Genomic DNA, 25,033 nt, shown 5'->3' with positions numbered 1-25,033 from the left:
CCGACCCTTCCACATCCATCTAGCACCCTGCATATCATCAGATCAGGCAGGTGCATAGTGATGCATGCAGCGTAGGAGTAGTGGTGGAGAACACAAAGACAGATGTCACTTTTCTTATGCTTAAGGAGCTCAAATACTGAGGAGGTCTGGTAGAAGAGCTATTCAGTTAATAGGTGACTACAATTCAATGCTGGCAGCAGTGGCATTAGGTCCAGGAGAACCCAGAGTTGAAACACGATCTGGGAGGAAGGTGATCAGACATGGCATCCAGAGGAAGTGACTTCCAAGGTGGGCCATATAGGATGAAGAGTTAGACAGAGTTAGACATAAAGGATGAAGAGTTAGACAGGAAGGGCATCAAACACGAAGGACATTCTTTATGAGAGGATGTCATTAAAAAGCCATAAAAAGATAGGTCAAAATTAGGCCGGGCGCGGTGGCTCATGCCTGTAATCCCAGCACTTTGGGAGGCCGAGGCGGGCAGATCATGAGGTCAGGAGATCGAGACCATCTTGGTCAACATGGTGAAACCATGTCTCTACTAAAAATACAAAAATTAGCCGGGCTTGGTGGTGGGCACCTGTAATCCCATGTACTCGGGAGGCTGAGGCAGGAGAATCGCTTGAACCTGAGAGGCGGAGGTTGCAGTGAGCTGAGATCGCGCCACTGCACTTCAGCCTGGCGACAGAGCAAGACTCCATCTCAAAAAAAAAAAAATAGGTGAAAATTGCAGAAGTGTGGGGCCAAGTAGTTGCTGGAACATAAAGTATGAGGCATCAAATAAAGAGAAATGAGGGTAGAGACAGAGGGTGTGGGGGGCCAGGTCCTGGAAGTCATGCCACATGAAGAGCTTAAGCCTAGCATTTTTTTTTTTTTTTTGAGACAGAGTCTCACTCTGTCACCCAGGCTGGAGTGCAGTGGTGCAGTCATGCTCACTGCAGCCTTGATTTTTCAGGCTTAAGCAATCCTCCTTCCTCAGCCTCCTGAGTAACTGGGACTACAGGCATGCACCACTATGCCCAGCTAATTTTTAAATTTTTTGTAGAGACAGGGATCTCACTATGTTGCCCAGGCTGGACTGAAACTCCTGACCTCAAGCAATCCTCCTGCCTTGGCCTCCCAAAGTATTGGAATTATGGGTGGGAGCCACCTTGCCCGGCCAAGCCTTAAGGGTCCCTTAAGATCAGGAGAAGCCATTATAAAGCCTGGAGCAAGGGAATAGTAGGTGTTCTATCAGCAAGAGTTCTGCACTTCATCGCGGTTGGATGCTGTGGGGCAAAGGTCCCTGGTAACTTTGGTCCAGAAAATTCCTTGTACCTAGCTTTAAAAATACTACAAAGTAATGAAAAAAGAGCTTCTTAAATGTCTGCATATGATGTATTTAAATAAAAGACACATTTTGCTGTATTTTGTTTCTCACAGACAATATGGCACCTAAAATAAGGACCATTTTTCCTTTTCTGAGTATATCTGTAGTGAACTTAAAGTCCATATGTAATGTTCTCCACGTTTAATCAGTTTTATTACCTATAAACATAATAAAGTACCTCTGGAAAGATGTACAAGGAAGTATTAACATTGGTAGCTGATGGAGTGAAAACTTTAAAAATTTGGGACCTTTCAAATCTGCCTGGTTGCTTCTTACTCCCCAGCTTCTCTGAGAACATGAACCAAGGGCCACTTCCCATTGCCACTGGCCCAGACCAAAGCCTGCTCCAGATGGACCCCGGAGACAGCACAGAAGCCTTTGAGGGATGGTGGATCCTTTCCAGAAAGGACACCTGGTGACTCTCATGAGCACAGTGACCCTGACAAGCCTCACATAGTTGCTGTCTACACAGACACGCACACACCCACACCACACATACACCCACACCACACACTACAAACACACACCACACTACAAACACACACTAGAAACACACCACACACTACACACACACTACAAACACACCACACTACAAACACACCACACACTACACACCACACACACTAGAAACACACACACCCCACACATGTACATACACACCACACACACACCAGATACATACACTGCAAACACACACACCACACACACCATACACACATGACGCACATACACCACACACACACCACACGCACACACACCCACACCACATAACCACACCACACATACACACACACCACACACACACTACACACACACCACACTACAAACACGCCACACACTACACACACACCACACACACACCATACACATACCACGCACATACACCACATATACACACCACACACACACCCACACCACACAACCACACCATACATACACACACACCACACACACTACAAACACACACACCGCACTACAAACACACCACACACTACACACACACCACACAACACACACGCTACAAACACACATACCCCACACACATACACATACACACCACACACACACCACACACATACACTGCAAACACACATACACCACACACACACACACACACACACATCACACACACACTACAAACACACCACACACACACCACACAAGCATATTGGGACACCACACACACACACACCATATCCCTGCTAACCTCATCTCCAGCTCTAAGTGATCAGGTGAAACTTCCTTCCACAGCCCTCCTCATTTTTTCCAAACACCCTCAATCCTTTCCCTTTTTCGGGATTCTGCAGGAAATTTGCTTTAGATATACAGGAAAAAAGAAATGCTCATTCCTTCTTTTCCTAGTGCAAGAGAAACGGCTCACACTTCAGGCCACACAAATGCAGGGTCAGATTCCAGCTTTGCCTATGAAAAGCTATGTGAACAACGTGAACATACTATTGCTTCAGTCTCTCTAAGCCTCATGTTTTTCATCTGTACGTGAGGCTAACACGATGACTTCCTATCATTAAAAGGAACGATGTAGGCTATCACCAACTATACCAACAAAAATAAGATTAAATGCCACGCATGCAGTATTTACATGCGTTTAAAATAGGTGATTGTAAAGAAAGGGTTAACGCTCTCACCACTGTGATAAATGTTGGTTCACCACCCCTCCTACAAGTCTTTGTGACCTGACAGTTTAGCATCTCTGAAAATAAATTGCGCATGAGACAGCATAATTCTCTCGTCTCCAGCCACCTTGCCCATCCTCTTTCTGTCCCTCTCTAAGTAGATTTTTGTGACCACCACTCTAGTTTAGCTCTTAGGAATGCCGTGTTATTGGGGACCTTTCTGCATTGAGTCTACTTTCAGGCAAGAGGTGGCTTCAAACAGCACTTGAAAGTATGCCAATGATAATGACACTAGACATAAGAGCTGGGAGTTATTTCAAGAATGGCAGGCAGGTGTGTATGTATGTGTGGTGTGGTTGTGCAGTGTGTGTGTGTAGACAGGAAGTATGTGAGGCTTGTCGGGGTCACTGTGCTCATGAGAACCACCAGTCACCCACAACCATGCTGGGTCACTGTTGAAAACAAGCACGTGGGGACACACAGGAAAGACGTAACGCAGGTCACAGACCACCTATGGGAAACAGAGTTTAGAAAAGAAACCCAGTCCTGAACCAACGAGGGAGCTTGGTGCTATCTTCTGCCTCAGCTGCCTGGCATACCTTGGACGCTTTCCCAAATTATCATAAACAACCAAAGACTGCACAGTATATAAAAACAAGAAGCTGCAAATTGGAATGTCCAATAAAAACCTATGACTTAAAAATTGAGAATTCTCTTTGGATCATCTGTAGCTAGATTCTCTCTCCGTATGTTCCAACTCTTTGTTACCCACTCCTCCAGGCTAAAATATCAGGTTAGATTTGTAGAAACAAGAAGAGCTGAGACCTGGCTACTTGTTCAGATCTTAAACCAGAGATGTTTCAGCCAGAATGGTGATTTGTGAATATCCGAAGCAGCTTCCAAGATTCTAAAACCAGTAAGTACCCCTGTAACAGCTCCATGAACTTTGAGCAATGAGACTGCATCAATGAAAGCGATGTCTAACATCCGTCCGAAAGAAACATCACCTATTTCAACTCCTAAATTCTAGAATGCTTATTTTAAAAGTCAATTTTGTTTGTTACAGCTGTGTTTATCAAGGACTACGAAAAGTATTAATTCAAACAACAGTTAAAATTCAGCAACTATGTAATCAAAGTTAGTTTTGCTGGGGCGACTGCAGCCAGCATTTCTTAGATCACTATATCACACATATTGATAAGACAACAGTCAGCAATACACTGTTGCTACAAGCAACCAAACTAATAGTTTTCTAAGTATTTAAATTTATTTCATAATAATTTCAAATGAGTCAGTTCTCTAGGCGAGCAGAATGTTAGCAAACTCAATCTATCAATCAGAATGGAAATTAGTACCTACCTGAAACCCTATTAAGTGTCACCCAGAAATGCTCATCAGGACTATAGGTATCTTTTGACCATTGTAGTAGATCAATGGCCCTTTGGTCACGTAGAACAAAGTCGACAAAGTCTCTGGTAAGCGCCACATAGGCAGTGCCAAAGTAGATGGTCAGCTGATGTGGAGGTGAAGTTTTCAAAATATTAGTATTTTTCACAAAAAAGCCACCTTTATCTGTATGCTCTTGGTGGACATATTTAGTTCGCTTAATTGCATGGTCAGGAGGCAGCACCCCTGGGGTGATATTTTTCCCTTTAAATCCTTTCAGATGCTGAACTATCTCCCGGTTGGTTTTCAGGGGGAAGTCTTGTCCACAGGTGTTGATGACGTACTTCCAGGGAACCTCAGAGGCGACAAGGTCTTTCAGACAGTTCAGGTCAGCCTGGAGTCTGGAAATGCCTGCATAAACCACAGACTCTGTCTTTGAAGCAATGAAAGCATTTTGGAAGCAACTCAGTAACTGCCTCACAGATTCCTTATACTCAGCTGGGGCTTTCTCATCCACGTGAACACAGTAGACATTTTGGGGCATATAGATAGCCCTAAAGAGCCTTTCAAAGGTGTCAAAGTCCTTATGGATGACCATGACATAGGCCAAAGGGAATGCAGCCTCTTCTTCCGACAGGGGACTTGTGATGTAGTGATTCTGGGTCAGGTAATCCTTGCAAGGGACACTTCGCAAAGGTGATGGTAATATATTTTCCCACAAAAAGACTGGCATTTTCTCTAAGGCGTGATTACAGGCAGTTTTCCTAAAATACCTTTCACTGGAACTGTTCAGCTTCTCATAACTTTTTGGCGGGCTCAATTGGCTACTGTAAAATCTCACAAAAATGACCACGCTGAGCAGAGTGAAAGCAAAAAAGCAGTACCTCCAAAAGTTCATTATTTTCACTTCCCTGGGGAAACAATCTCTTCTTTTCAGGGAATGAGAAATGATCGGTGTGAGAGGTTGAATTTGCTTCTCTTGCCAGTCTTGAATTTCGACAGCTTCTCCGGAGGGCTGCTTGCTTTCCTGAATCCTTTAATCCTCCTGTATCCTCTGCTTCGGTGTCTCGTCCATCCTTTTTGGATGTGCCTGGAGATGCGGTGCGTCCCTCTCTCACTTTGGTCTGCAGTTCCCCAGGGTTGAATCCCTGCTGTTTGCAAAGGCTCAGCTAAGCCCAGCCCAGTCCAGCCTCTAGGAAGCCTCCTCATTTACATATGAAATGCAAATTACGTTCTGGAATGCAATGATGGGTCCTTTTCACTGGAGCCGAGTTTCTCTTGCTTCACCCTCACCGCCTTTCCCTTCCATCAATCTATTCTGATCTGATCTCCCTTCTCACGCTTTCTCCAAGCCTTCTAGAATCAGAGGCTCTGTTTTTTCTGGCTAGCCCCACAACCTGCTGGCAGTCCTTAGGAGCCACAGCATTTAAGGATATCGGCTCCTCTGGTTTCTTTCTCTTCCTGTTCTCTGCCACCTCTTTTCATTTTAGTGTTATCTGTACCTCTGGGCACATACAGACACAGATAATGAAAAATGAATGTGTGCCAGGCATGGTGGCACGCACGTGTAGTCTCAGCTACTCAGGAGGTTGAGGCGGGAGGATTGCTTGAGCCAAGGAGATCAAGGCTGCAGTGAGCTATGATGGCAGCACTGCACTCCAGCCTGGGCGACAGTGAGACCCTGTCTCTTCAAACACTTACTTTAAAAAATACATTTGTAACATGACTAAGTAGAAGATTATCAGTGGCAGAAAAATATAACAAGGTAGATTAATTTAGATTCTAATGATGTGTCAGAATATAGCGCGCACACACACACACACACACACACACACACACACACACACACACACACTGACTATGGGAAGAGGGAACAAAGAATTACACCCTTGGGGGCACAGGCAGGACACAAGGGTGGAAGGAACCTAGGACTGACATTTTACATGAAAGAGTCAGTGTTGATATCATATGATGAAGTAAATGTGGGGAAAAGAAAGAGAGATCAGATTGTTACTGTGTCTATGTAGAAAACAGAAGACATAAGAAACTCCATTTTGTTCTGCTTTGAGATGCTGTTAATCTGTAACTTTTGTCCCAACCTTGTGCTCACAAAAACATGTGCTGTATTGAATCAAGGTTTAATGGATCTAGGGCTGTGCAGGATGTGCCTTGGTAAAAATGTGTTTGCAGGCAGTATGCTTTGTAAAAGTCATCGCCATTCTCCATTCTCTATTAACTAGAGACACAATGCACTGCGGAAGGCCGCAGGAACCCCTGCCCAAGAAAGCCTGGGTATTGTCCAGGTTTCCCCCCACTGAGACAACCTGAGATACGGCCTCGTGGGAAGGGAAAGACCTTACAGCCCCCCAGCCCGACATCCGTAAAGGGTCTGTGCTGAGGAGGATTAGTGAAAGAAGAAGGCCTCAATGCGGTTGAGATAAGAGGAAGGCGTCTGTCTCCCGCACGTCCCTGGGAATGGAATGACAAATGTAAAACCAACCATACATTCTACTCTAAGAGAAAATCGCCTTATGGATACAGGTGAGACATCATGGCAGCAATACTACTCTTTACTGCACTGAGATGTTTATGTAAAGTTAAATATAAATCTAGCCTACGTGTACATTTAGGCCCAGCACTTTTCCTTAAACTTATTTATGACACAGATTCCTTTACTCACATGTTTTTCTGCTGACCCTCTCCCCACCTTCACCCTATAGCCCCACCACATTCCCCTCGCCAAGATAGGAAAAATAGTGATCAATAAATACTGAGAGAACTCAGAGACTCAGAGTAAGTGAGCACCGGTGTTGGTCCTCACTTACTAAGCGCCGGTCCCCCAGGGCCCACTTTTCTTCCTCTGTACTTTGTCTCTGTGTCTTATTTCTTTTCTCAGTCTCTCATCTCCACCTTGCAAGAAATACCCACAGGAGTGGAGAGGCAGGCTCCCTTCATCAAACACACCTAAGTTTGCATGCCAGAGAGAAATGTGATAGTGTTCCCAGAGAGCAAAAGTTGGGTCCCATTTCACAAAGAGAGCTTCAGATAACTTGAGCTGTTGACACAGTATTATCTACAATATGTGGAGTGACTACCTACTGGCTCTCTTTAAAAGCCTGACAACCTCAGATTTGAGGTCATTTCAAAGAACTTAAAGGATTCTCATTCTCCTTCCCACCCAACCCCCTCTCCAACTTCCTTTTCTGAAGAAAGAACAAAACCACCAGGGCTGCTGCAGAATTCCTGGAAGTATCAGCCAGTGTAATTCAGGGGAACCAGGAAAAGCACAGGTCTGGTCGCATTACAGAGGGTTCTCAGAGTTCACCTGCTTGCAGTGCTGCAAGCGATCTCGCAGCCAATGTGAAGTGCACTGGGGATTGATGCGGACGGTAAGGACACTTCCAAGGGAGAAATTAACTGGTCAACTAAAGGATCAACTGTGGCAGCCACACGAGGCATGTTAAGAGTGGGCCCTGCTCCCATCTCACTCCTGTAGTCACCTAGCAATCGTACCTGCCGGGGCTTGTGCCAGTTGGAACAGCTGCTCCTGTTAGGAAAACATTTGATTCACAATGCAGCCATTTCCCTGCCCCCTCTCTGCTCCACTCCACCCCTTAACTTCCTACAGTGAACTGTAGGAATGAATGGCAACAGTGCCGTGGATGCGATGGATATTGATTTGGATATTAATTTGGTGAGCTGCTAGAGAGTTGGCGGGGATCTTTGAGATCACCCATCACAACCCCGTTATTTTTACAGATGAGCACATTGAGGCCTTTAAAAATATTCTCCCCAATGTCATTCAGCTGGATAGAAACCAGAGCCTTAATTCCACAGCTCCCTGGTCCAGGTGCTGAAGCCAGTCTGTTTGGCTAAATCCCAGCTGCTCACAGTGCCTGGGTAAAGTTACTTAACCTCTTTACACAACCAGGTCCTCCCACTGTGAAAAGATAAAGAACAGTGGCTCTTATTTCAAATGGTTGTCAAGACTAAATGAGATACCTCTTGTTGAGGGTTTGGCAAGAATCCGGGCACCTGGTAGATGTTCCATAAGCATTAGCTATGATTGTTGTTGTTGTTGTTTCTCTTTTGGAAAATATCCAACACTTCTGACCCTCATAATGAACTGATATTTTGATTTCTGTTCTTAGTAATGGAAAAAAAAAGCATTTACCTTAAGGTTTTCAAATGCTTTATTCCCGGAGGTTAAATTCCACTCTTTTCTTCCCCATCACTGCCTCCCCTTTAGCCCATGGGAAAAAAAATATATATATTTATATAAATATATAAATATTTTATATATAGTTTATATATATTTAAATATATATGATATATATTATACATGATATATAATATATGATGTATAATATAATATATGATGTATTATATTATATATTATAGTATATATTATAGTATATATTATATTTATTATATATATTATATAATAAATATTAAATTATAGTATATAATAAATATTATACTATTTATTATAGTATATAATAAATATTAAATTATAGTATATATTATATTTAATATTACTATATATTATATAGTATATATTATATTTAATATTACTATATATTAAATATATAGTAATATTATATATATTTATATATTTAATATATAGTATATATTATATATATTTTATATATTTAAATATATATAATTATATATATAATAAATTTTATATATTATATAAAAATATATTTTATATAAAATATTTTATACACATACATATATGAATATATCATATATGCATTTATAAATGTTTTTTATATGTACTTTAAGAGATATATTTTTGTATGCATATTTAAAATATATATTACATGTGTATTTTTAAATATATACATATAATACATATGATATATACATATATACACATAAATATATTTATATATACATATAAGTGTGTGTATATATATATATTACTATTTTATTATGTATATTCACACACACTCTAGAAATGTGACTGTATGAAGGGAACAATCCAATAACCCATTTTGATGCCTTCATGTCTCTTCATTCTTACTAGAACCACACCCTTTTCTGTAAAATTTGTCCTTGGCAGGTCTTGTGGAGAACAGAAGGGGAAAGTTGGAGTGAGAAAAGAGAGGCAAAGGTCTTCTATTGCAGGTTCAGTCGGTTTTTTCCCTTCTCTTTGCCTCAAGCCTTGATCCTACAATAAGGAGCTCTGATAAGTGCCAATGCAAAACAAACTCAAGAAATCTTTCAACATGATGTAGCCAAAGCAGTCTGCAGATGGGAGTGGCAGCATGATTTATAGTTCAAAACAGCAGTATCCAAAAATAAATAAATGAGGCCGGGTGCAGTGGTTCATGCCGGTAATCCCAGCATTTTGGGAGGCCAAGGAGGGCAGATCACCTGAGGTTGGGAGTTCGAGACCAGCCTGACCATCATGGAGAAACCCTGTCTCTACTAAAAATACAAAATTAGCCAGGTGGGGTGGTGCATGCCTGTAATCCCAGCTACGAGGGAGGATGAGGCAGGAGAATCACTTGAACCTAGGAGGCAGAGGTTGCAGTGAGCCCAGATCACGCCATTGCACTCCAGCCTGGGCAACAAGAGCAAAACTCCATCTCAAAAAATAAAAAATAAAAAATAAATAAATACATACATAAAACAAAACCCCAAAACCATGTACATCATTTGTCCTGACTTATTTACAGTGGTTTAGATGAACAGACTGAGACTAGCATGTGATGCCTTCTGAGTGGCTGGCCCTAGCAGTAGGTTTGTTTTGTTTGGTATCTTTGAATATATCAAATGGTATATTGAACAGGCATTTCCTTCCAGTAAATAATTGGGCAGGCAAAGCTATTAACTTCCAACCAGGGCATTATTTCTGCTCTGCCCACTCTAGTTGGCTCAACAGACTGAAAATTGTTAAGTGGTCATTCTGTATCAGTCCCACCTCTCTCTGCCCCAGGATAACTTTTACGGTCACAAACAAGAAGACAGCACAAGGACTATGGCTAACAACACATCATCATCTCAACTCAACATGAAAACCAGGGCTGGGCTGCCTGCGGGGCCCTCTGAGCAGTGCTGGGATTTCTCTTCCCTCACAATGAGTTAGTTCTCATTAATCTTCCACGAGCTCTGCTTCCACTGCAGGTGAGTTTACAAAGGCTGAGGCAGATGCCGGTCAGGGGAGGGGCAGGACTGGAACCCGAGTCGGACCTACTCTCAAATCCTTGCCGTTCTTCATCACCCTCTGCAGAATGAGTGGCTATTGAATCTTTTTTTTTTTTAAGGCAATGCTTTTTGATGAGTCCTCTCATCTCCACCAAGACCACTCCATCTTCATCTGTGTCTAAGGCTTTAGTTGTGCCTGGCTGGCAACCTCAAACTCTTTGGCCACAAGCGAGATGCAGGAATTAAGCAAAAACAGATCTCCAAGCAACCAAAATAATCATCACACATTGTAGGACGGATTCAGGCACTCAAATGCCTACAGGCAGGTAAGGCACAGTGCGGGAAGCTGGTGAAGGGTCAGACGAGCAGGGCCGGTGAGTTCACAGAGGGCAGCAGACATTGAGGAGGATTGGGTGGGGGCTGCTGGGAATGAGAGAGCCTGCATCCCTCCCCACCCCCCTGACCCCTGGCAATTAATGCCACAGGGGATCATGAGCCCAGGGCTGCCAGCTTTTCCAGTGTATTCAGAGAAGTGAGAAACCTGAATTTTATCAGAAAAACTCTCAAACTTACCCCTAAGGATGGCATTTGGCCCTCAGGATGCCAGTTTTGTCTTCTTTGGTTTAAGCATCAAAGCTTACATCCTTTAAATCCCTCTGAGGCTTAGCCTGTTAAATCTTAGTTTAGACACGATCATAAAATGTTCTTATAGCTAAGCAGATGCAAAGTCACAAATTAGAACAGGGAAACAAAACTGGCAGGCTCAGGTCCCCTGCCGACAGCAGTAGGTGAAGTAAGTTCAACTACAAACGCAGAGCTGTGTGAGATCATTTGGTGTAAGGATACCGGCATTTATACAGCTCCATGCCCATTTTATTACTTGTTTTTTTTTTTTTTTTTTTTTTGTTTGTTTTTTGAGATGGAGTCTCGCTCTGTGGCCCAGGCTGGAGCGCAGTGGCACGATCTCAGCTCACTGCAACCTCCGCCTTCCGGGTTCAAGCCATTCTCTTGCCTCAACCTCCCGAGTAGCTGGGATTACAGGTGCCAGCCACCACAGCCAGCTGATTTTTGTATTTTTAGTAGAGACGGGATTTCACTCTGTAGGCCAGGCTGGTCTCAAGCTCCTGACCTCAAGTGATCCACCCGCCTCAGCCTCACAAAGTGCTGGGATTATAGGCATGAGCTACCATGCCTGGCCCCATTTTATTACTTTACTAGATCAATATCTCTAGTACTTATAGAGATCAAACAAGTTAATGTCTATGAAAGGACTTGAAAGCTGTGAAGAAAACAGGCCAACCTAGCTTTCTTTGAATATAAGCAGAATACAAACATTTAGTGAAACAAATAGAAATGGATTAATAGACATGTTATACATATATTCTGCACATTCTATTTAAAAATGCATTTCTGAAATATATTTATTTAATATAGTGGGTTTTTTCATTGAGTCATTGTTTTTAATAGCACAGAATACAGAAATAATAGATTGGGACAACAGTTTTGTAAGACTAGAGGTTAATATTCCTCTTGTGAAGAGGTAGCCTATAAATTAATAAGAAAAGGTAAATAACCAAAGAGAAAAGCAGGCAGAGTACATGACAATCACAAAGCAGAAAAAACTAATGGCCAATGAACATATAGAAACACACTCTTCTCACACTAGAGATCAGAGAAATTCATATTAAAACAAAATTATGCAGTGTGGTGAATTCCTATAGTTTGATGTTGCCTCAGCATCCATTCTGAAGATAAGCTTAACTTTCTCATACCAGAAGCAGGGTTTAGTCAACCCCTACTTAACACAGTTTCCAGTTCTCCGCCTCCTCCCAGTTCCTCAATGTGGTTAATCCAGATATCTGCCTTAAACAAGTGCTCAAAAGTGATGATCTTAACAACAACAACAACAAAATGGATCTAAGTTAACTTCATTTTTGTATGCTTATCCTTTTCCATGTTCTCTCCTCCACAAGAATATAAGCTCCGGGCCGGGCGCAGTGGCTCACGCCTGTAATCCCAGTACTTTGGGAGGCCAAGGCAGGCGGATCACGAGGTCAGGAGATTGAGACCATCCTGGCTAACACGATGAAACCCCGTCTCTACTAAAAATACAAAAAATTGGCCAGGCGAGGTGGCGCGTGCCTCTAGTCCCACCTACGCGGGAGGCTGAGGCAGGAGAATGGCATGAACCCAGGAGGCAGAGCTTGCAGTGAGCCGAGATCATGCCACTACACTCCAGCCTGGGCGACAGCGAGACTCCGTCTCAAAAAAAAAAAAAAAAAAAAAGAATGTAAGCTCCATGAAGACAGGGACTTCATCAACTCTTTTTTTTTTTTTTTTACTTTTAGACAGAGTCTCACTCACTCTGTTGCCCAGGGGCTGGAGTGCAGTGGCTCAATCTCGGCTCACTGCAACCTTCGCCTCCTGGATTCAAGCGATTCTCCTGCCTCAGACTCCAGAGTAGCTGGGATTATAGATGTGTCCAGCTAATTTTTGTGTTTTTATTAGACACGGGGTTTCACTACGTTGGCTAGGCTGGTCTCGAACTCCTGACCTCAAGTGATCCACCTACCTTGGCCTCCCAAAGTGCTGGGATTACAGGCGTGAGCCAATGCGCCTGGCCAGTTTCATCTACTCTTTACCACTGAAAATAGCAGTGCAGAGCAGAGGTACCCAACAGATATTTCTTGAATGAGGTCAATCAACTACAGAAGTTAGAGAAAAGACAACAAATAAACCCACTTTTGGGTGAATCAGTGAGGGGTGGTCATGGTGGTGGTGGGTTAAATCAAGGAATAAGTGTTATGCAAAGCGCTGATTTTAAGGTGCACCTCCTACCACCACGAAGTTCAAAAACAATGACCTGGCGTTTGCTTTAAATGGATTCAATAGGCCGGGTGCAGCAGCTCACGCCTGTAATTCCAGCACTTTGGGAGGCTGAGGCAGGTGGATCACCAGAGGACAGGAGTTCAAGACCAGCCTGGCCAACATGGTGAAACTCCGTCTCTACTAAAAATGCAAAAATTAACTGGGCATGGTGGCAGACGCCTGTAATCCCAGCTACTCGGGAGGCTGTGGTAGGAGAATCACTTGAACCCAGGAGGCGAAGGTTTCAGGGAGCCGAGATCATGCCATTGCACTCCAGCCTGGGCAAAAAGAGTGAAATTCTATCTCAAAAAAATAAAATAAAATAAAAAATAAACGCATTCAACAAACCATGGAACCATGGAATTCGAGCCCCTTAACTTGGCCCATGAGCACTTCTGCTCCTGGGGCTCTGGGCAGACTGCTCGGTGACCTATCAGGAAGGAGGTAGCATCTTGCCAATTTCCCAGGGTGACAGATCCCACTCTGCTCACTTTGTGGCTGAGCTCCCGAAGGTAGGGAATGTAGTCACTTGCCTGGGATGAGAGGAGGCAACTCCAGGAGCCGCGGGAGGCGTCTGAGTGCAGAGCCCACCCCCTGCCCTACATGGCTGTCACCTCCCCCCTCACACTGCACAGCAGCCCCCTTGGGCGAGGTGTGATTTCTCTCCATTTGATGTGCAAGAAAGCCTCAGGGAGGTAAAGTTGCTAGGCCAAAGTCACACACGCCCAATTCTCACCAGCCTCCTGAGTGCTTCTTTTCTATTTTTCATTTTCATTTAATTTTTTAAAGATGAGATCTCGCTCTATCACCCAGGCTGGAGTGCAACGGTGAGAGCATAGCTCACTGCAGCCTTGAACTCCTGAGCTCAAGAGATTCTTCCACTTCAGCCTCCTGTAGCTGAGACTACAGGCACTTGGCTAATTTTATTATTATTATTATTATTGTTATTATTTTTAGACATGGAGTCTAGCTATTTTGCCCAGGCTGGTCTTGAACTCTTGGCCTCAAGTGATCCTCCAGCCTCGGCCTCCTAAAGTGATGGGATTACAGGCTTGAGCCACTGTATCCGGCTTCTTGAGTGCTTCTGAGCTCCTGCTTACAACACTTTTTCCTCTTTTCTGATTGCAATGATCTCTGAATCCTGGTTCTTCTTTCTATGTGTGTGTCTCTCTCTCTCCCCAAATCTCTTTCTGTCTCTGTCCTATTGAAAAGCCCTCTTTCATCCTGGAACTCCCCAACCCATTCCTCCTACCTCCCCCTAAGTCTTTCCATTCCACTCTCAAATGCTTCTTCCTCTGGATCCTGAATTCCAGCCTCCTTGAATAGATTTTTGTTTTTTTAATTAACTATTCTGTGCACAAAAGGGAAGGCTTCAATTATCTAGGAAACTCACGATTACGACCAAACTGTTTCCTCAGATAACGTGAGGCAAATATGTTTGCCATGTGATTCTACTTCAGGCATCAGTGTTTCTTCTGCACAGGGCTGTGTAGTAGGTATTTAAAGCTGTGGGCCATTCACTAGGTCTCTGTTGCAACAACTCAACCCTGCTGTTGAGGTGCGAAAATAGCCATAACAATGCATGGCTGTGTCCTAATAAAACCTTCTTTATGGATCCTGAAATCTGAATTTCCTACAACTCTTCATGTCACGAAGTTGTTTCTTTTGATATTTTTTCAATCATTTGAAAATGTGGCAGGGCGTGGTGGCTCACGCCTGTAATTCCAGCACTTTGGGAGGCCAAGGCAGGCAGATCACCTGAGGTCAGGAGTTCGAGACCAGCCTGGACAACATGGTGAAACCCCGTTTTCATGCACGTCCGTGTGAAGAGACCACCAAACAGGCTTTGTGTGAGCAACATGGCTGTTTATTTCACCTGGGTGCAGGCGGGCTGAGTCTGAAAAGAGAGTCAGCAAAGGGAGATGGGGTGGGGCCGTTTTATAAGATTTGGGTAGGTAAAGGAAAATTACAGTCAAAGGGGGTTTGTTCTCTGGCGGGCAGGAGTGGGGGTCGCAAGGTGCTCAGTGGGGGAGCTTTTTGAGCCAGGACGAGCCAGGAAAAGGACTTTCACAAGGTAATGTCATCACTCAAGGCAAGGACCGGCCATTTACACTTTTGTGGTGGAATGTCATCAGTTAAGGCAAGGACTGGCCATTTACACTTCTTTTGTGGTGGAATGTCATCAGTTAAAGGTGGGGCAAGGCATATTCACTTCTTTTGTGATTCTTCAGTTACTTCAGGCCATCTGGGCATATACGTGCAAGTCACAGGGGATGTGATGGCTTGGCTTGGGCTCAGAGGCCTGACACCCATCTCCACTAAAAATACAAAAAAATTAGCTGGGCGTGGTGGCAGGCACCTGTAATCCTAGCTACTTGGGAGGCTGAGGCAGGAGAATCTCTTGAACCCAAGAGTCGGAGGATGCAGTGAGCTGAGAACGCGCCATTGCACTCCAGCCTGGAGGACAAGAGTGAAACTCCATCTCCAAAAAAAAAAAAAAAAAAATGTCAACCCAGCCTTTTGGCCAGAACTACCATCTTCCAGTTAAACAGACACTGTATGAGATACACTATCACGGAAAATTTGGTTGACAAGAAAGAGGATTTAATTCATCACATAAAAATTAATTTGCCAAGATGACGAACACAAAGGAAAAGAGGAGAGGCACCCAATGTATGTTCTCTAAGCCTTTTAGAAAACATGGAGTTGTTCCTTTGGCCACGTATATGTGAATCTATAAGAAAGGTGACATTGCAGGCATCAAGGGAATGGGTACTGTTCAAAAAGGAACACCCCCAAGTGTTACCATGGCTAAATGGGAAGAGTCTGCAGTGTTCCCCAGCATGCCGTTGGCATTGTTGTAAACAAACAAGTTAAGGGCAAGATTCTTGCCAAGAGAATTAATGTGTGTATTGAGCACATTAAGCACTCTAAGAGCCGAGCTAGCTTCCTGAAACGCTTGAAGAAAAACGATCAGAAAAAGAAAGAAGACAAAGAGAAAGGTGCCTGGGTTCAACTGAAGCGCCAGCCTGCTCCACCCAGAGTAGCACACTTTATGAGAGCCAGTGGGAAGGAGGCTGAGCTGCTGGAACCTCTTCCCTACGAATTCATGGCATCATAGGTGTTAAAAAAAAATAAAAGACCTCTAGACTGTAAAACAAACAAACAAACAAAAAACATTCTTGGCTCAAGGGCAGTACCAAAATAGGCAGATTTAGCCCATGGTCTATAGTTCACTGATCTCTGCTCTAGATTATAATCATGCTCCCCCCATCCTAAATTTTGCAATTTTGGGATCTTTACAATCACCTATAATTTCTGTGTTTTTCCAGATGAGGAAGTGTGAAATGAGGGAAAATAATAATGTTGAGCATCCTTCTACCCACACCCCCTTTATATGTGCCATCTGGGTTGCAGTGCAAAGGGGTGGATTTGTAGAGAATGTAGGCAAGTAATTTACACTCATAGCCTCAGTTTTCTTTTCTGTAAAATGAAGGTAATAGAAACTACCTCACAAGGCGGTGAGAGTTAAAGAGGTTGGTAGGTATATAAGCACATGCATATATGTTGTCCTGATGCCCACCGAAACTGGTTTCTGGTGGAGGTAACAAGGAACCCATGAGTGGACAAGCTTCTCTTGGCCAGTCCGAGATATGCCAGGGCAGTCAGATGCCACCATTTATGGCAGGCTGCAGAGCCCCTCTGCGTGCCCCCGTTTCCTTTCTTCTTCTACAGAATGGAGACATTAAGAACGCTGACCCCATAGGGTTCTTAAGAGATTGAAATAGGCTAGTATATAAAAAGAGTTTAGAACAATGCCTTGCATGTAATTAGTACGTGACAAATCTCAAGACATTTCTCTCTGTTGCCAAACCTGGCTCATCTGGGCCCCTGAGCACCCTGACCACCTTACAGGGTAGGTTTAGTGAAGCAGCATGGCTGTGTGTGCAGGGGTGCTTCTGCCACCTGAAATATCCCGAAGCATAGGCAGAAGCCCTCAAGGCCACCATTGTCACGGGCAGTCTCAGCCCAGTGTGGGGGAACTGCCTTTCATTCCCAATTGCAGCCTGGGCTTTGACACTGCATCTGACTTGGTTACTCCAGTGAGCTGGCCTGCTGGTGCACCTGCAAAAAGCTAACGATGGGGTCAATATGCGGCATGGTGGTGAAGACCACTGCTTTTCAGTTGAAGACCACATTTAAACCTGGCCCTGCTGTTTGCTAAGGGTCCCTGAGAAAGCTTCTAAAAATTACTGTGCCTTAGCTTTCCAATTTTTAAAAGGCAGTAGTAGAAAGCCTATCCAAGTGGTGGAAAGTAAATCGAAGAAGCTTGCTATGGCTTCTCTGTCTGTGACACTACCTGCCCCCACCCCAACTTACCTTGCTCTTCCAGGGACACACTGCTTTTCTCTACTTCCCTAGCAACCCCACTGGGAGACAAAATTTCTTTCCCTTCTGGTGTTAACTGCCCAGCTGTTAACACTAAATGCCCAAGCAAAGATAACAACAACAATAAAACCCACAAATGAAAACTTTATCTTTGACTATATTCTGTTAAGTTTCAAGGAACAGCGTAGGTAACTATTTGTCTTTCTGCACAACAACTTTTCTCTGATTCCGAATGTCGCATCCGAGGAAAAAGAAGTTGAGAAGTTCCAAGAGACACTATTTGACAATCCAGCTGCTGCCAGAGATCCATATCTAGAACATCCCATCCTTTATATCTTCCGAACACTTTCAAATAAATGGAAACAAAAGTCTTAAAATAGAGATAGGCAGTGATTTCTTGCAACTTCTAATTTTAATAGCCTTATTAAATTCTGGACTCATTTTCAGTTTATTCAATCCACTCTTATACTAGCTCCTTTCCCACAGAGCCGGCCATTTGCCTGAGTTTAGACCGTTTGTTAGGGCAGAGGGCTTGGATAGATCCCAAAAAGCAGACGTTTCTTCTGCTTTCCTAGAAATTAAATCAGGAATAAATTTGCCTCCAAGATACATCCTGTGTTTGTACCTAACTGGAGACAATTTTTGCATTTGATGCTCTCACTGGGTAACGTAGTTTTAAGTTCACATTTTATATTTAGCCATCTATCCTTTTATTTTTTATTTTTATTTTTATTTTTTTTTGAGACGGAGTCTCGCTCTGTCATCCAGGCTGGAGTGCAGTGGCACAATCTCAGCTCACTGCAAGCTCCGCCTCCTGGGTTCACGCCATTCTCCTGACTCAGCCTCCTGAGTAGCTGGGACTACAGGCGCCCGCCACTAGGTCCGGCTAATTTTTTTTGTATTTTTAGTAGAGATGGGATTTCACCATGTTGGCCAGGATGGTCTCGATCTCCTGACTTCATGATCCGCCTGCCTTGGCCTCCTTGACCTCCCAAAGTGCTGGGATTACAGGCGTGAGCCACAGCGCCCGGCCTGCCATCTATCCTTTTAGATGACATCCTTAAACTCTATACTCTCTCCTCAAAAACAATGGGAAAAGCGTTATAAATGGAATAGGTCCAGTCCAGGTTCACTTTGGTTGGGGTCTTCAGGGCTAATATTGTAGCTTTGATTTTTACCCTTCAATATGTTGTAACCTACATAAATGAGTGGTTTCAAGGATCATTTTTTTTCCAGGTTATTGATCAGTGCAGTTCTGCGGAACATAAATATTTTGGGCACTGAATTCTTCATCCTGACATGGAAAGGTGAGCAGGAATGGGGTGGGAGGTGCTCAGGGTGACCAACTGTCCCGGCTTGCCCAGAGCTGAGGGGTTTCCCAGAACACGGGATTTCAGTACTAGAGCTAGAGAAGCTTTGGCAGACCAGGGAGAATTGTTCACTCTAGATAGCATCAGTCCTAACCACTCCCAGATAGACAATTACTACTGAAGGTATTACTGATTAGGGACATACAATAACTATCAGTGTGAAAGGAAAAGAAACATTCAAATCATTATCTCAGGGGGTGTGGAGGGGGCAGGCGTGCAAATCATCACTAAGTCTATAGTGCAGAAAATCTCTGCGTGATCCTTCTTCACATTTCCGTGAACCACTGAGGCATGGGGACAAGTGATTAATATTCATGGGATGGCTTTACAGTGAACCCAAAAGAACGCATTTAAATTATACCAACTACACAGATGTTTTCCAGTGGATATAGGAAGGTTTTAGTAACAAACAATAATGGGAGAACATGAAGAGATAATAATTTCTACTATAGGGCTTGGTGCGGTGGCACACACCTGTAATCCCAGCACTTTGGGAGGCTGAGGTGGGTGGGTCACCTGAGGTCAGGAGTTCAAGACCAGTCCGGCCAACATGGTGAAACCCCATCTCTACTAAAAATACAAAAATTTGCCGGGCATATTGGTAGGCGCCTGTAATCCTAGTTACTCGGGAGGCTGAGGCAGGGAGAATTGCTTGAACCTGGGAGGCGGAGGTTGCAGTGAGCTGAGATTGCACCATTGCACTCCATCCAGCCTGGGTAACAAGAGCGGGACTCTGTCTCAAAAAATAATAATAATAATAATTATCATGATCATCATCATAATTTCTACTATAGCATTACAGTTTCTAAACTCCCTTCCCTCTATACCACGTGTAACTTGAGAGATCTTCTTTCCGTATGGGGTGGGATTAATAGAAACATATGGGATTGTAGGGATGGAATGCTCATTCTAAGCTTTATAAGAAATAGGCAGTGAGGCTAAAAAATGTAAACTCATTTTAAGGAGCAGGACAATCAGCCAGCCACTTGATCTCTCTGGCTCACAATCTCCAAATTTGTATAACTAGGATTAGAGGATGTTCTCTAAGGCCGCTTGTGGTTCTAAACGCTGTCATTATTTTAGATTCAGCATAGAATAAAGAGGAGGCTGTTTTTATGGGAAAACTGTACCTGAGAGGCTTGGTTTAGACTGAGTACCTGACAAAGAAAGTCCATAAAGTGGTAGGATAATGGACCAGAGATAAATCTACAAGGCTTAGAAGTGGGGAGGAAGCCGGTTAACTCCAACAGACCAAAATCCTGGGAGAGAAGAAACCAGACAGAGACAAGTTCAGCCTCTCTAGGACATGGCCCAAAACATAGCAAGGACTTCAGGGTCTTGGGGACAGTAGTTTTCACATAGGACACAAGAGGGGATTTGGACTCTAAGGCAGGAGGGCCTTTTTCAGTAGGCCCCCCAAAGAGCTTGAAGGAGGAGCTCAGACTTGGACCAAGTGCAGAATTAGATTTTCAGTGAAGGAAGAGTTATGTGAAGATTGGGTCTAAGGAAGGAGATGGCTAGAAAGAAAATGAACCAGGAAATGTCCAGAAGAGAGGGCTGATGGTAGCACGAAGCTAAATTTATCAGTATGACATGAGTATCTCCAGCTTACTCGGGAAAGACTGAAGTTGTATCCTCCAATATTTTCACAGTTAAGTTCTGATCTTTTAAACCTGGCTGAGGAGGAAGATTATGGGAGAATACATTTCACAAAAGTACAGAGCTGAAGGGCAAAGTTTCGAAAGCCCAACTCCCATCCATCCATTCTCCAGAAATGTGGTGTCAAAAGGAGACACAAGGTAAATGGATTTGGGGAAAGCCTTCTGCCACTTATTGCTTTGTCTAGAAGCACTTAAGAAAGAATGCCACATGCTGGGTGCCGTGGCTAATGCCTGTAATCCCGACACTTTGGGAGGCTGAGACAGGTGAATCACTTGAGTCCAGGAGTTCAAGACCAGCCTGAGTAACATGGCAAAACCCCATATCTACAAAAATTACAAAATTAGCTGGGCATGGTGGTGCATGGGAGGAACGCATGAGCCTGGTAGGTTGAGGCTGCTGTGAGCCGTGATCACGCCATGCACTCCAGCCTGGGTGACAGAGTGCAACTCTGTCAGGAAGAAAGAAAGAGAGAAAGAAAGGAAGGAAGGAAGGAAGAAGGAAGGAAGGAAGAGAGAGAGAAAGGAAGGAAGGAAAAAGGAAGGAAGGAAAGAAAGAAAAAGAAAGAGAAAGAAAGAAAGAAAGAGAAAGAAAGAGAAAGGAAGGAAGGAAGGAAGGAAGAAATCCATATGAGCTCAGAGGGTAAGAGAAAGACAGGTTTATGAGTAGTCCTAGCATGGAAAAACTACACTGAGAAATGGTTAGTTAGAAGAGCAGTTAACATATTTTTGCTTAGGGCATAGCTGAGACTGCAAATGGTCCACTATGATGGTGGTTGGACCTTGGGTTGAAGAACAGCCTGTCTGGAGCAGATGCTGCCCCCAGGCTGGGCTCAGCATGAGAAGCATTCCCAAAATAAGCAGGATGCTTTGGAAAAACTGAGTGGAAGAGAACTGTCTCATTGCTGTTGCCCAAGAACAGAGGAGCATTTAGGAAACGTCAAAGAAAAATTGAACATGGGCCAGGTGCAGTGGCTCATGCTTATAATCCCAGCTACTTGGGAGGCTGAGGTGGGAGAACAGCTTGAGCCCAGGAGTTTGAGGCTGCGGTGAGCCAAGATCACACACTGCAATCCAGCCTGGTAGATGGAGTGAGACCCTGTCTCAGAAAACATGGCTGAAAGATACTGTTTGAAGTTGACCCTTCAGGATTTGGCAAAATTACCTAGGGGGTGTGTGTGTGTGTGTGTGTGTGTGTGTGTGTGTGTGTGGCGGGGGGAGTGGGTGGCAGGGGGTGATGCAAGTGGTAATGATTTGAAGTTGACTAGGCAGCAGTGCTGAGGGGCACCAACATCCTAAAATTATTTCCATTTGACTCAATTCAATAAATATTTCCTGTCAGCCCACTGAATGCTCACTATGCTGGACTGCCAAAAATACAAAAGACCTCAAAGACATTATAGTCTAGTCGCGGTAATACGATATTCACATTAATAATGATAATGCAGAGATTCTAGAATGACATAAAAGCATTACAACAGAGGTTTATAAAGGTATAAAATTGGGAAAAAATAAGACCAGAAAAAGCTTCCTAAATGACACACCAATGACATGATGTGTTACCATTGAATGACATACCATTAAACAAGGCCATTATTTAAATGGAGAGATGGAAGGCAATGGCACAAACAGAGAGGGTGACATGAAGAAAAGGACCTATGGCAGGATTACAGGCATGGTAATTTTTCTGAAGGGTTCCTTTCAGGGAAGGCAGCAATGGGAGTTGACGGTGGGGTAACACAGGTAATACTGAGGGGATCTCCAACAGGGAGATTTTGACATCCAACCTGCCATGTTGAGATGTCTATACTGAATAATTCAATAAGTTGTTGACACTCACTGAAGCTTTTGGAATTGAGAAAACGTTTTTCTTAGAGCTATGTCTTAAGAAGCAAAATATGTTAAGAGTGTTAGAATGGTTTGAAGAGGGAGACTCGGGCCAGAGAGACCACTTGGAGTGGGTCCGACAATAGTCTGCTTGACAGGTGTGATGGGCCAGAGTTAAGAACAGTAATGATGAAAACAGGAAGGGTAGAACTTGCTAGAAAACTCTCACAGACAAAACGTATGGAATGTGCTGGCTGGATCCTGGGGTACCAGAAGTGGGGAAGTTGGCTGACTTGAAGGATGGCCATACCACAGAGACTGTGAGTGGAAAGCTGGGTGTGTGGGGAGTAGGGAGATGTCAGCAGGCACTCGTGGAAGCTTCGAGAAGAGATATCCAAAAAACAAGGAGATGTGGCAGAAGGCCTGGGAGCTCACTACAGGGAAGTGAATGGTCAGTACTGAGGTGGTGGTGAGAAACTGCAGATGTAAATGAGATCACAAAGGGGGAAAGAACTGCAAGAGCCACGAAGTAAACTGAGGCAAGAACTGAGGAGGATGTTTCCTGAAAACATTTCTCGAATTCTGAATTTCACTGAGAATAGTAGCTCCAAAATTCCACCGATAGCTAAGTCTCATTTCAATAGTCAGTAAGCAAGAAGATGAAAAGAACAGAGCTCTTCATTTACATTCAACTTTCTCAGTGAGGGATTATAAAATCCATTTATCATTGGCAAAGTGATCACCTTTTCATTATCTTGAGGTTTCGGCTGAGAGTTCGAGGGCAAAGTCAAAACTCCATGATAAATTTTGCTGGCTTCCGTCTTTGATAATTCTCTTGCTAGCACTTTTAACCCTATCTGCCTTTCTCAGTAACAACTTCCAGAAAAGATCGATTCTATACATTGCATTGTGGACAGGAGACAGAGGACTGGATTAGAAGTAAGAAGAGATCAATTTGTGCCCTGGCTCTGGCAATTATTAGCTGTTCAATACATCCAAGAAATATGTACAGTAGCTATACATCTTACACAGAGGTGAGGTTGCAGAGTCAATGAGTAAAGGGAAAAAGGCCTAAAAGTTAATATTCCTCTAGAGATATCCCTTAGGAATGCACCACATTCCAACATGGTCAGTCTTCCCTTTCATCTTTTTTCTTTTTCTTTGAGATAGCATCTTGCTCTGTTGCCAGGGCTGGAATGCAGTGGCGCCATCCTAGCTCATTGCAGCCTTCATCTCTGGGGCTCAAGTGACCCTCCCACCTCAGCCTCCCAAGTAGCTGGTACCACAGACATGTGCCACCATGCCCAGCTGATTTTTGTATATTTTGTAGAGATGAGTCACTGTGTTGCCCAGGCTGGTCTCCAACTCCTGGGGCCAAGTGATCTTTCCACCTTAGCCTCCTGAGTAGCTGGGAATACAGGTGTGTGTCACCAGACTTGGCCAATTTCATTTTATTATTTTTTTGTTGAGATGTGGTCTCACTATGTTGCCCAGGCTTATCTTGAACTCTTGGGCTCAAGTGATCCTCCTGCCTTGGCCTCCCAAAGTGCTGGGATTATAGGCATAAGTCTAGCCTTCTCTTTAATCTTGGTCCAGATGGTTGTTTCTTCTAATGAGCACTAGATGAAGAAGTTCGTTTGAGCAGACGAGCTATGTTATGAGATAGACATATACAGTCCTTTAACATTAGTGAGCCTTGGGAAGCAAACTCCATCAAGAGAATGAGCAGACTCCTTGGCTTACTCTGGACCCCACTCATTGGGTAAAATGAAGGGCAGAGTAGCATGGCCAACACCATTTAAACCCATATAAAACGTGTGCGTGCACAAGCGTACATGTGTGCATGCATTTAATTAAGTCTGTGTAGGTTAAACAAATATAAGTTGGGACTCCATCATCTTGAGTACTGCTCATGTGCCCGAGGTATGCTAAGTGTAAACAGAAATAGGCCCGTGCAGCTGCTGCCCTTGAAGCCTATTCTAAAAGGTCACTAGGAATATACAACACAGCACTGCAAAACTGATATGGTTGGGCGCAGTGGCTCATGCCTATAATCCCAACGCTTTGGGAGGCCAAGGCAGGAGGATCACTTGAGGCCAGGAGTTCAAGATCAGCTTAGGCAACACAGTGAAATTCTATCTCTATAAAGATTTTAAAAATTAGCTGGGCATGGTGGCACCTAAAGTCCCAACTACTCGGGAGGCAGAGGCAGGAGAACTGCCTGAGCCTAGGAGGTCAAGGCTTCAGTGAGCCATGATGGTATCACTGCACTCCAGCCTGGGTCACAGAGCCAGGCCTTGTCTCCTAAAAATTTTTTTAAAGATTAAAAATAAAAAGACCAATAATAGTACAACGTTGTACGGGAGTCCAGATGAG

General features: G+C 43.8%; 1 protein-coding gene and 1 pseudogene across 11 annotated transcripts in view, besides 7 other annotated features; one reads left to right on the top strand and one right to left on the bottom strand.

Moving 5' to 3' along the window:
- The window catches only part of GCNT2 (glucosaminyl (N-acetyl) transferase 2 (I blood group)), a 108,018-nt gene that overhangs the window by 38,092 nt on the left and 44,893 nt on the right, over nt 1-25,033 (bottom strand). Inside the window, exon 1 of one of the 11 annotated variants that reach the window (NM_145655.4) lies at nt 4,363-5,517. The exons of 9 other annotated variants lie outside the window; for them this stretch is intronic. In NM_145655.4, coding sequence (NP_663630.2) covers nt 4,363-5,287 — 925 coding nt within the window. In that variant the 5' untranslated portion in view covers nt 5,288-5,517. Of the gene's footprint in view, nt 1-4,362; nt 5,518-17,928; nt 18,148-25,033 lie in introns of those variants that run through there. One more of the 11 variants, XM_005248997.4, reaches the window with a different exon arrangement.
- Nucleotides 1,708-2,255: an enhancer, noted in NCBI's record as "H3K27ac hESC enhancer chr6:10589255-10589802 (GRCh37/hg19 assembly coordinates)". NCBI's record gives its function as "activates a minimal SCP1, AML or CMV promoter by ChIP-STARR-seq in naive H9 embryonic stem cells {active_cell/tissue: H9 hESC(naive)}" and the evidence as "EXISTENCE:reporter gene assay evidence [ECO:0000049][PMID:30033119]".
- Nucleotides 4,711-5,683: an enhancer, noted in NCBI's record as "OCT4-NANOG-H3K27ac-H3K4me1 hESC enhancer chr6:10585827-10586799 (GRCh37/hg19 assembly coordinates)". NCBI's record gives its function as "activates a minimal SCP1, AML or CMV promoter by ChIP-STARR-seq in primed H9 embryonic stem cells {active_cell/tissue: H9 hESC(primed)}" and the evidence as "EXISTENCE:reporter gene assay evidence [ECO:0000049][PMID:30033119]".
- Nucleotides 7,632-8,605: an enhancer, noted in NCBI's record as "OCT4-NANOG-H3K27ac-H3K4me1 hESC enhancer chr6:10582905-10583878 (GRCh37/hg19 assembly coordinates)". NCBI's record gives its function as "activates a minimal SCP1, AML or CMV promoter by ChIP-STARR-seq in primed H9 embryonic stem cells {active_cell/tissue: H9 hESC(primed)}" and the evidence as "EXISTENCE:reporter gene assay evidence [ECO:0000049][PMID:30033119]".
- Nucleotides 12,247-12,541: a silencer, noted in NCBI's record as "tiled region #5327; HepG2 Repressive non-DNase unmatched - State 23:Low". NCBI's record gives its function as "represses a minimal TATA promoter and a strong SV40 promoter by Sharpr-MPRA in HepG2 cells {active_cell/tissue: HepG2}" and the evidence as "EXISTENCE:reporter gene assay evidence [ECO:0000049][PMID:27701403]".
- Nucleotides 14,298-14,943: an enhancer, noted in NCBI's record as "NANOG-H3K27ac-H3K4me1 hESC enhancer chr6:10576567-10577212 (GRCh37/hg19 assembly coordinates)". NCBI's record gives its function as "activates a minimal SCP1, AML or CMV promoter by ChIP-STARR-seq in primed H9 embryonic stem cells {active_cell/tissue: H9 hESC(primed)}" and the evidence as "EXISTENCE:reporter gene assay evidence [ECO:0000049][PMID:30033119]".
- Nucleotides 14,944-15,589: an enhancer, noted in NCBI's record as "OCT4-NANOG-H3K27ac hESC enhancer chr6:10575921-10576566 (GRCh37/hg19 assembly coordinates)". NCBI's record gives its function as "activates a minimal SCP1, AML or CMV promoter by ChIP-STARR-seq in naive and primed H9 embryonic stem cells {active_cell/tissue: H9 hESC(naive and primed)}" and the evidence as "EXISTENCE:reporter gene assay evidence [ECO:0000049][PMID:30033119]".
- Nucleotides 15,590-16,235: an enhancer, noted in NCBI's record as "OCT4-NANOG-H3K27ac hESC enhancer chr6:10575275-10575920 (GRCh37/hg19 assembly coordinates)". NCBI's record gives its function as "activates a minimal SCP1, AML or CMV promoter by ChIP-STARR-seq in naive and primed H9 embryonic stem cells {active_cell/tissue: H9 hESC(naive and primed)}" and the evidence as "EXISTENCE:reporter gene assay evidence [ECO:0000049][PMID:30033119]".
- On the top strand, nt 16,038-16,565 carry RPL21P63 (ribosomal protein L21 pseudogene 63; annotated as a pseudogene).

The sequence above is a fragment of the Homo sapiens genome, chromosome 6 (genome assembly GCF_000001405.40).
Source record: "Homo sapiens chromosome 6, GRCh38.p14 Primary Assembly".
NCBI classification, from domain to species: Eukaryota; Metazoa; Chordata; class Mammalia; order Primates; family Hominidae; genus Homo; species Homo sapiens.
This window is presented reverse-complemented; position numbering and strand designations above follow the sequence as displayed.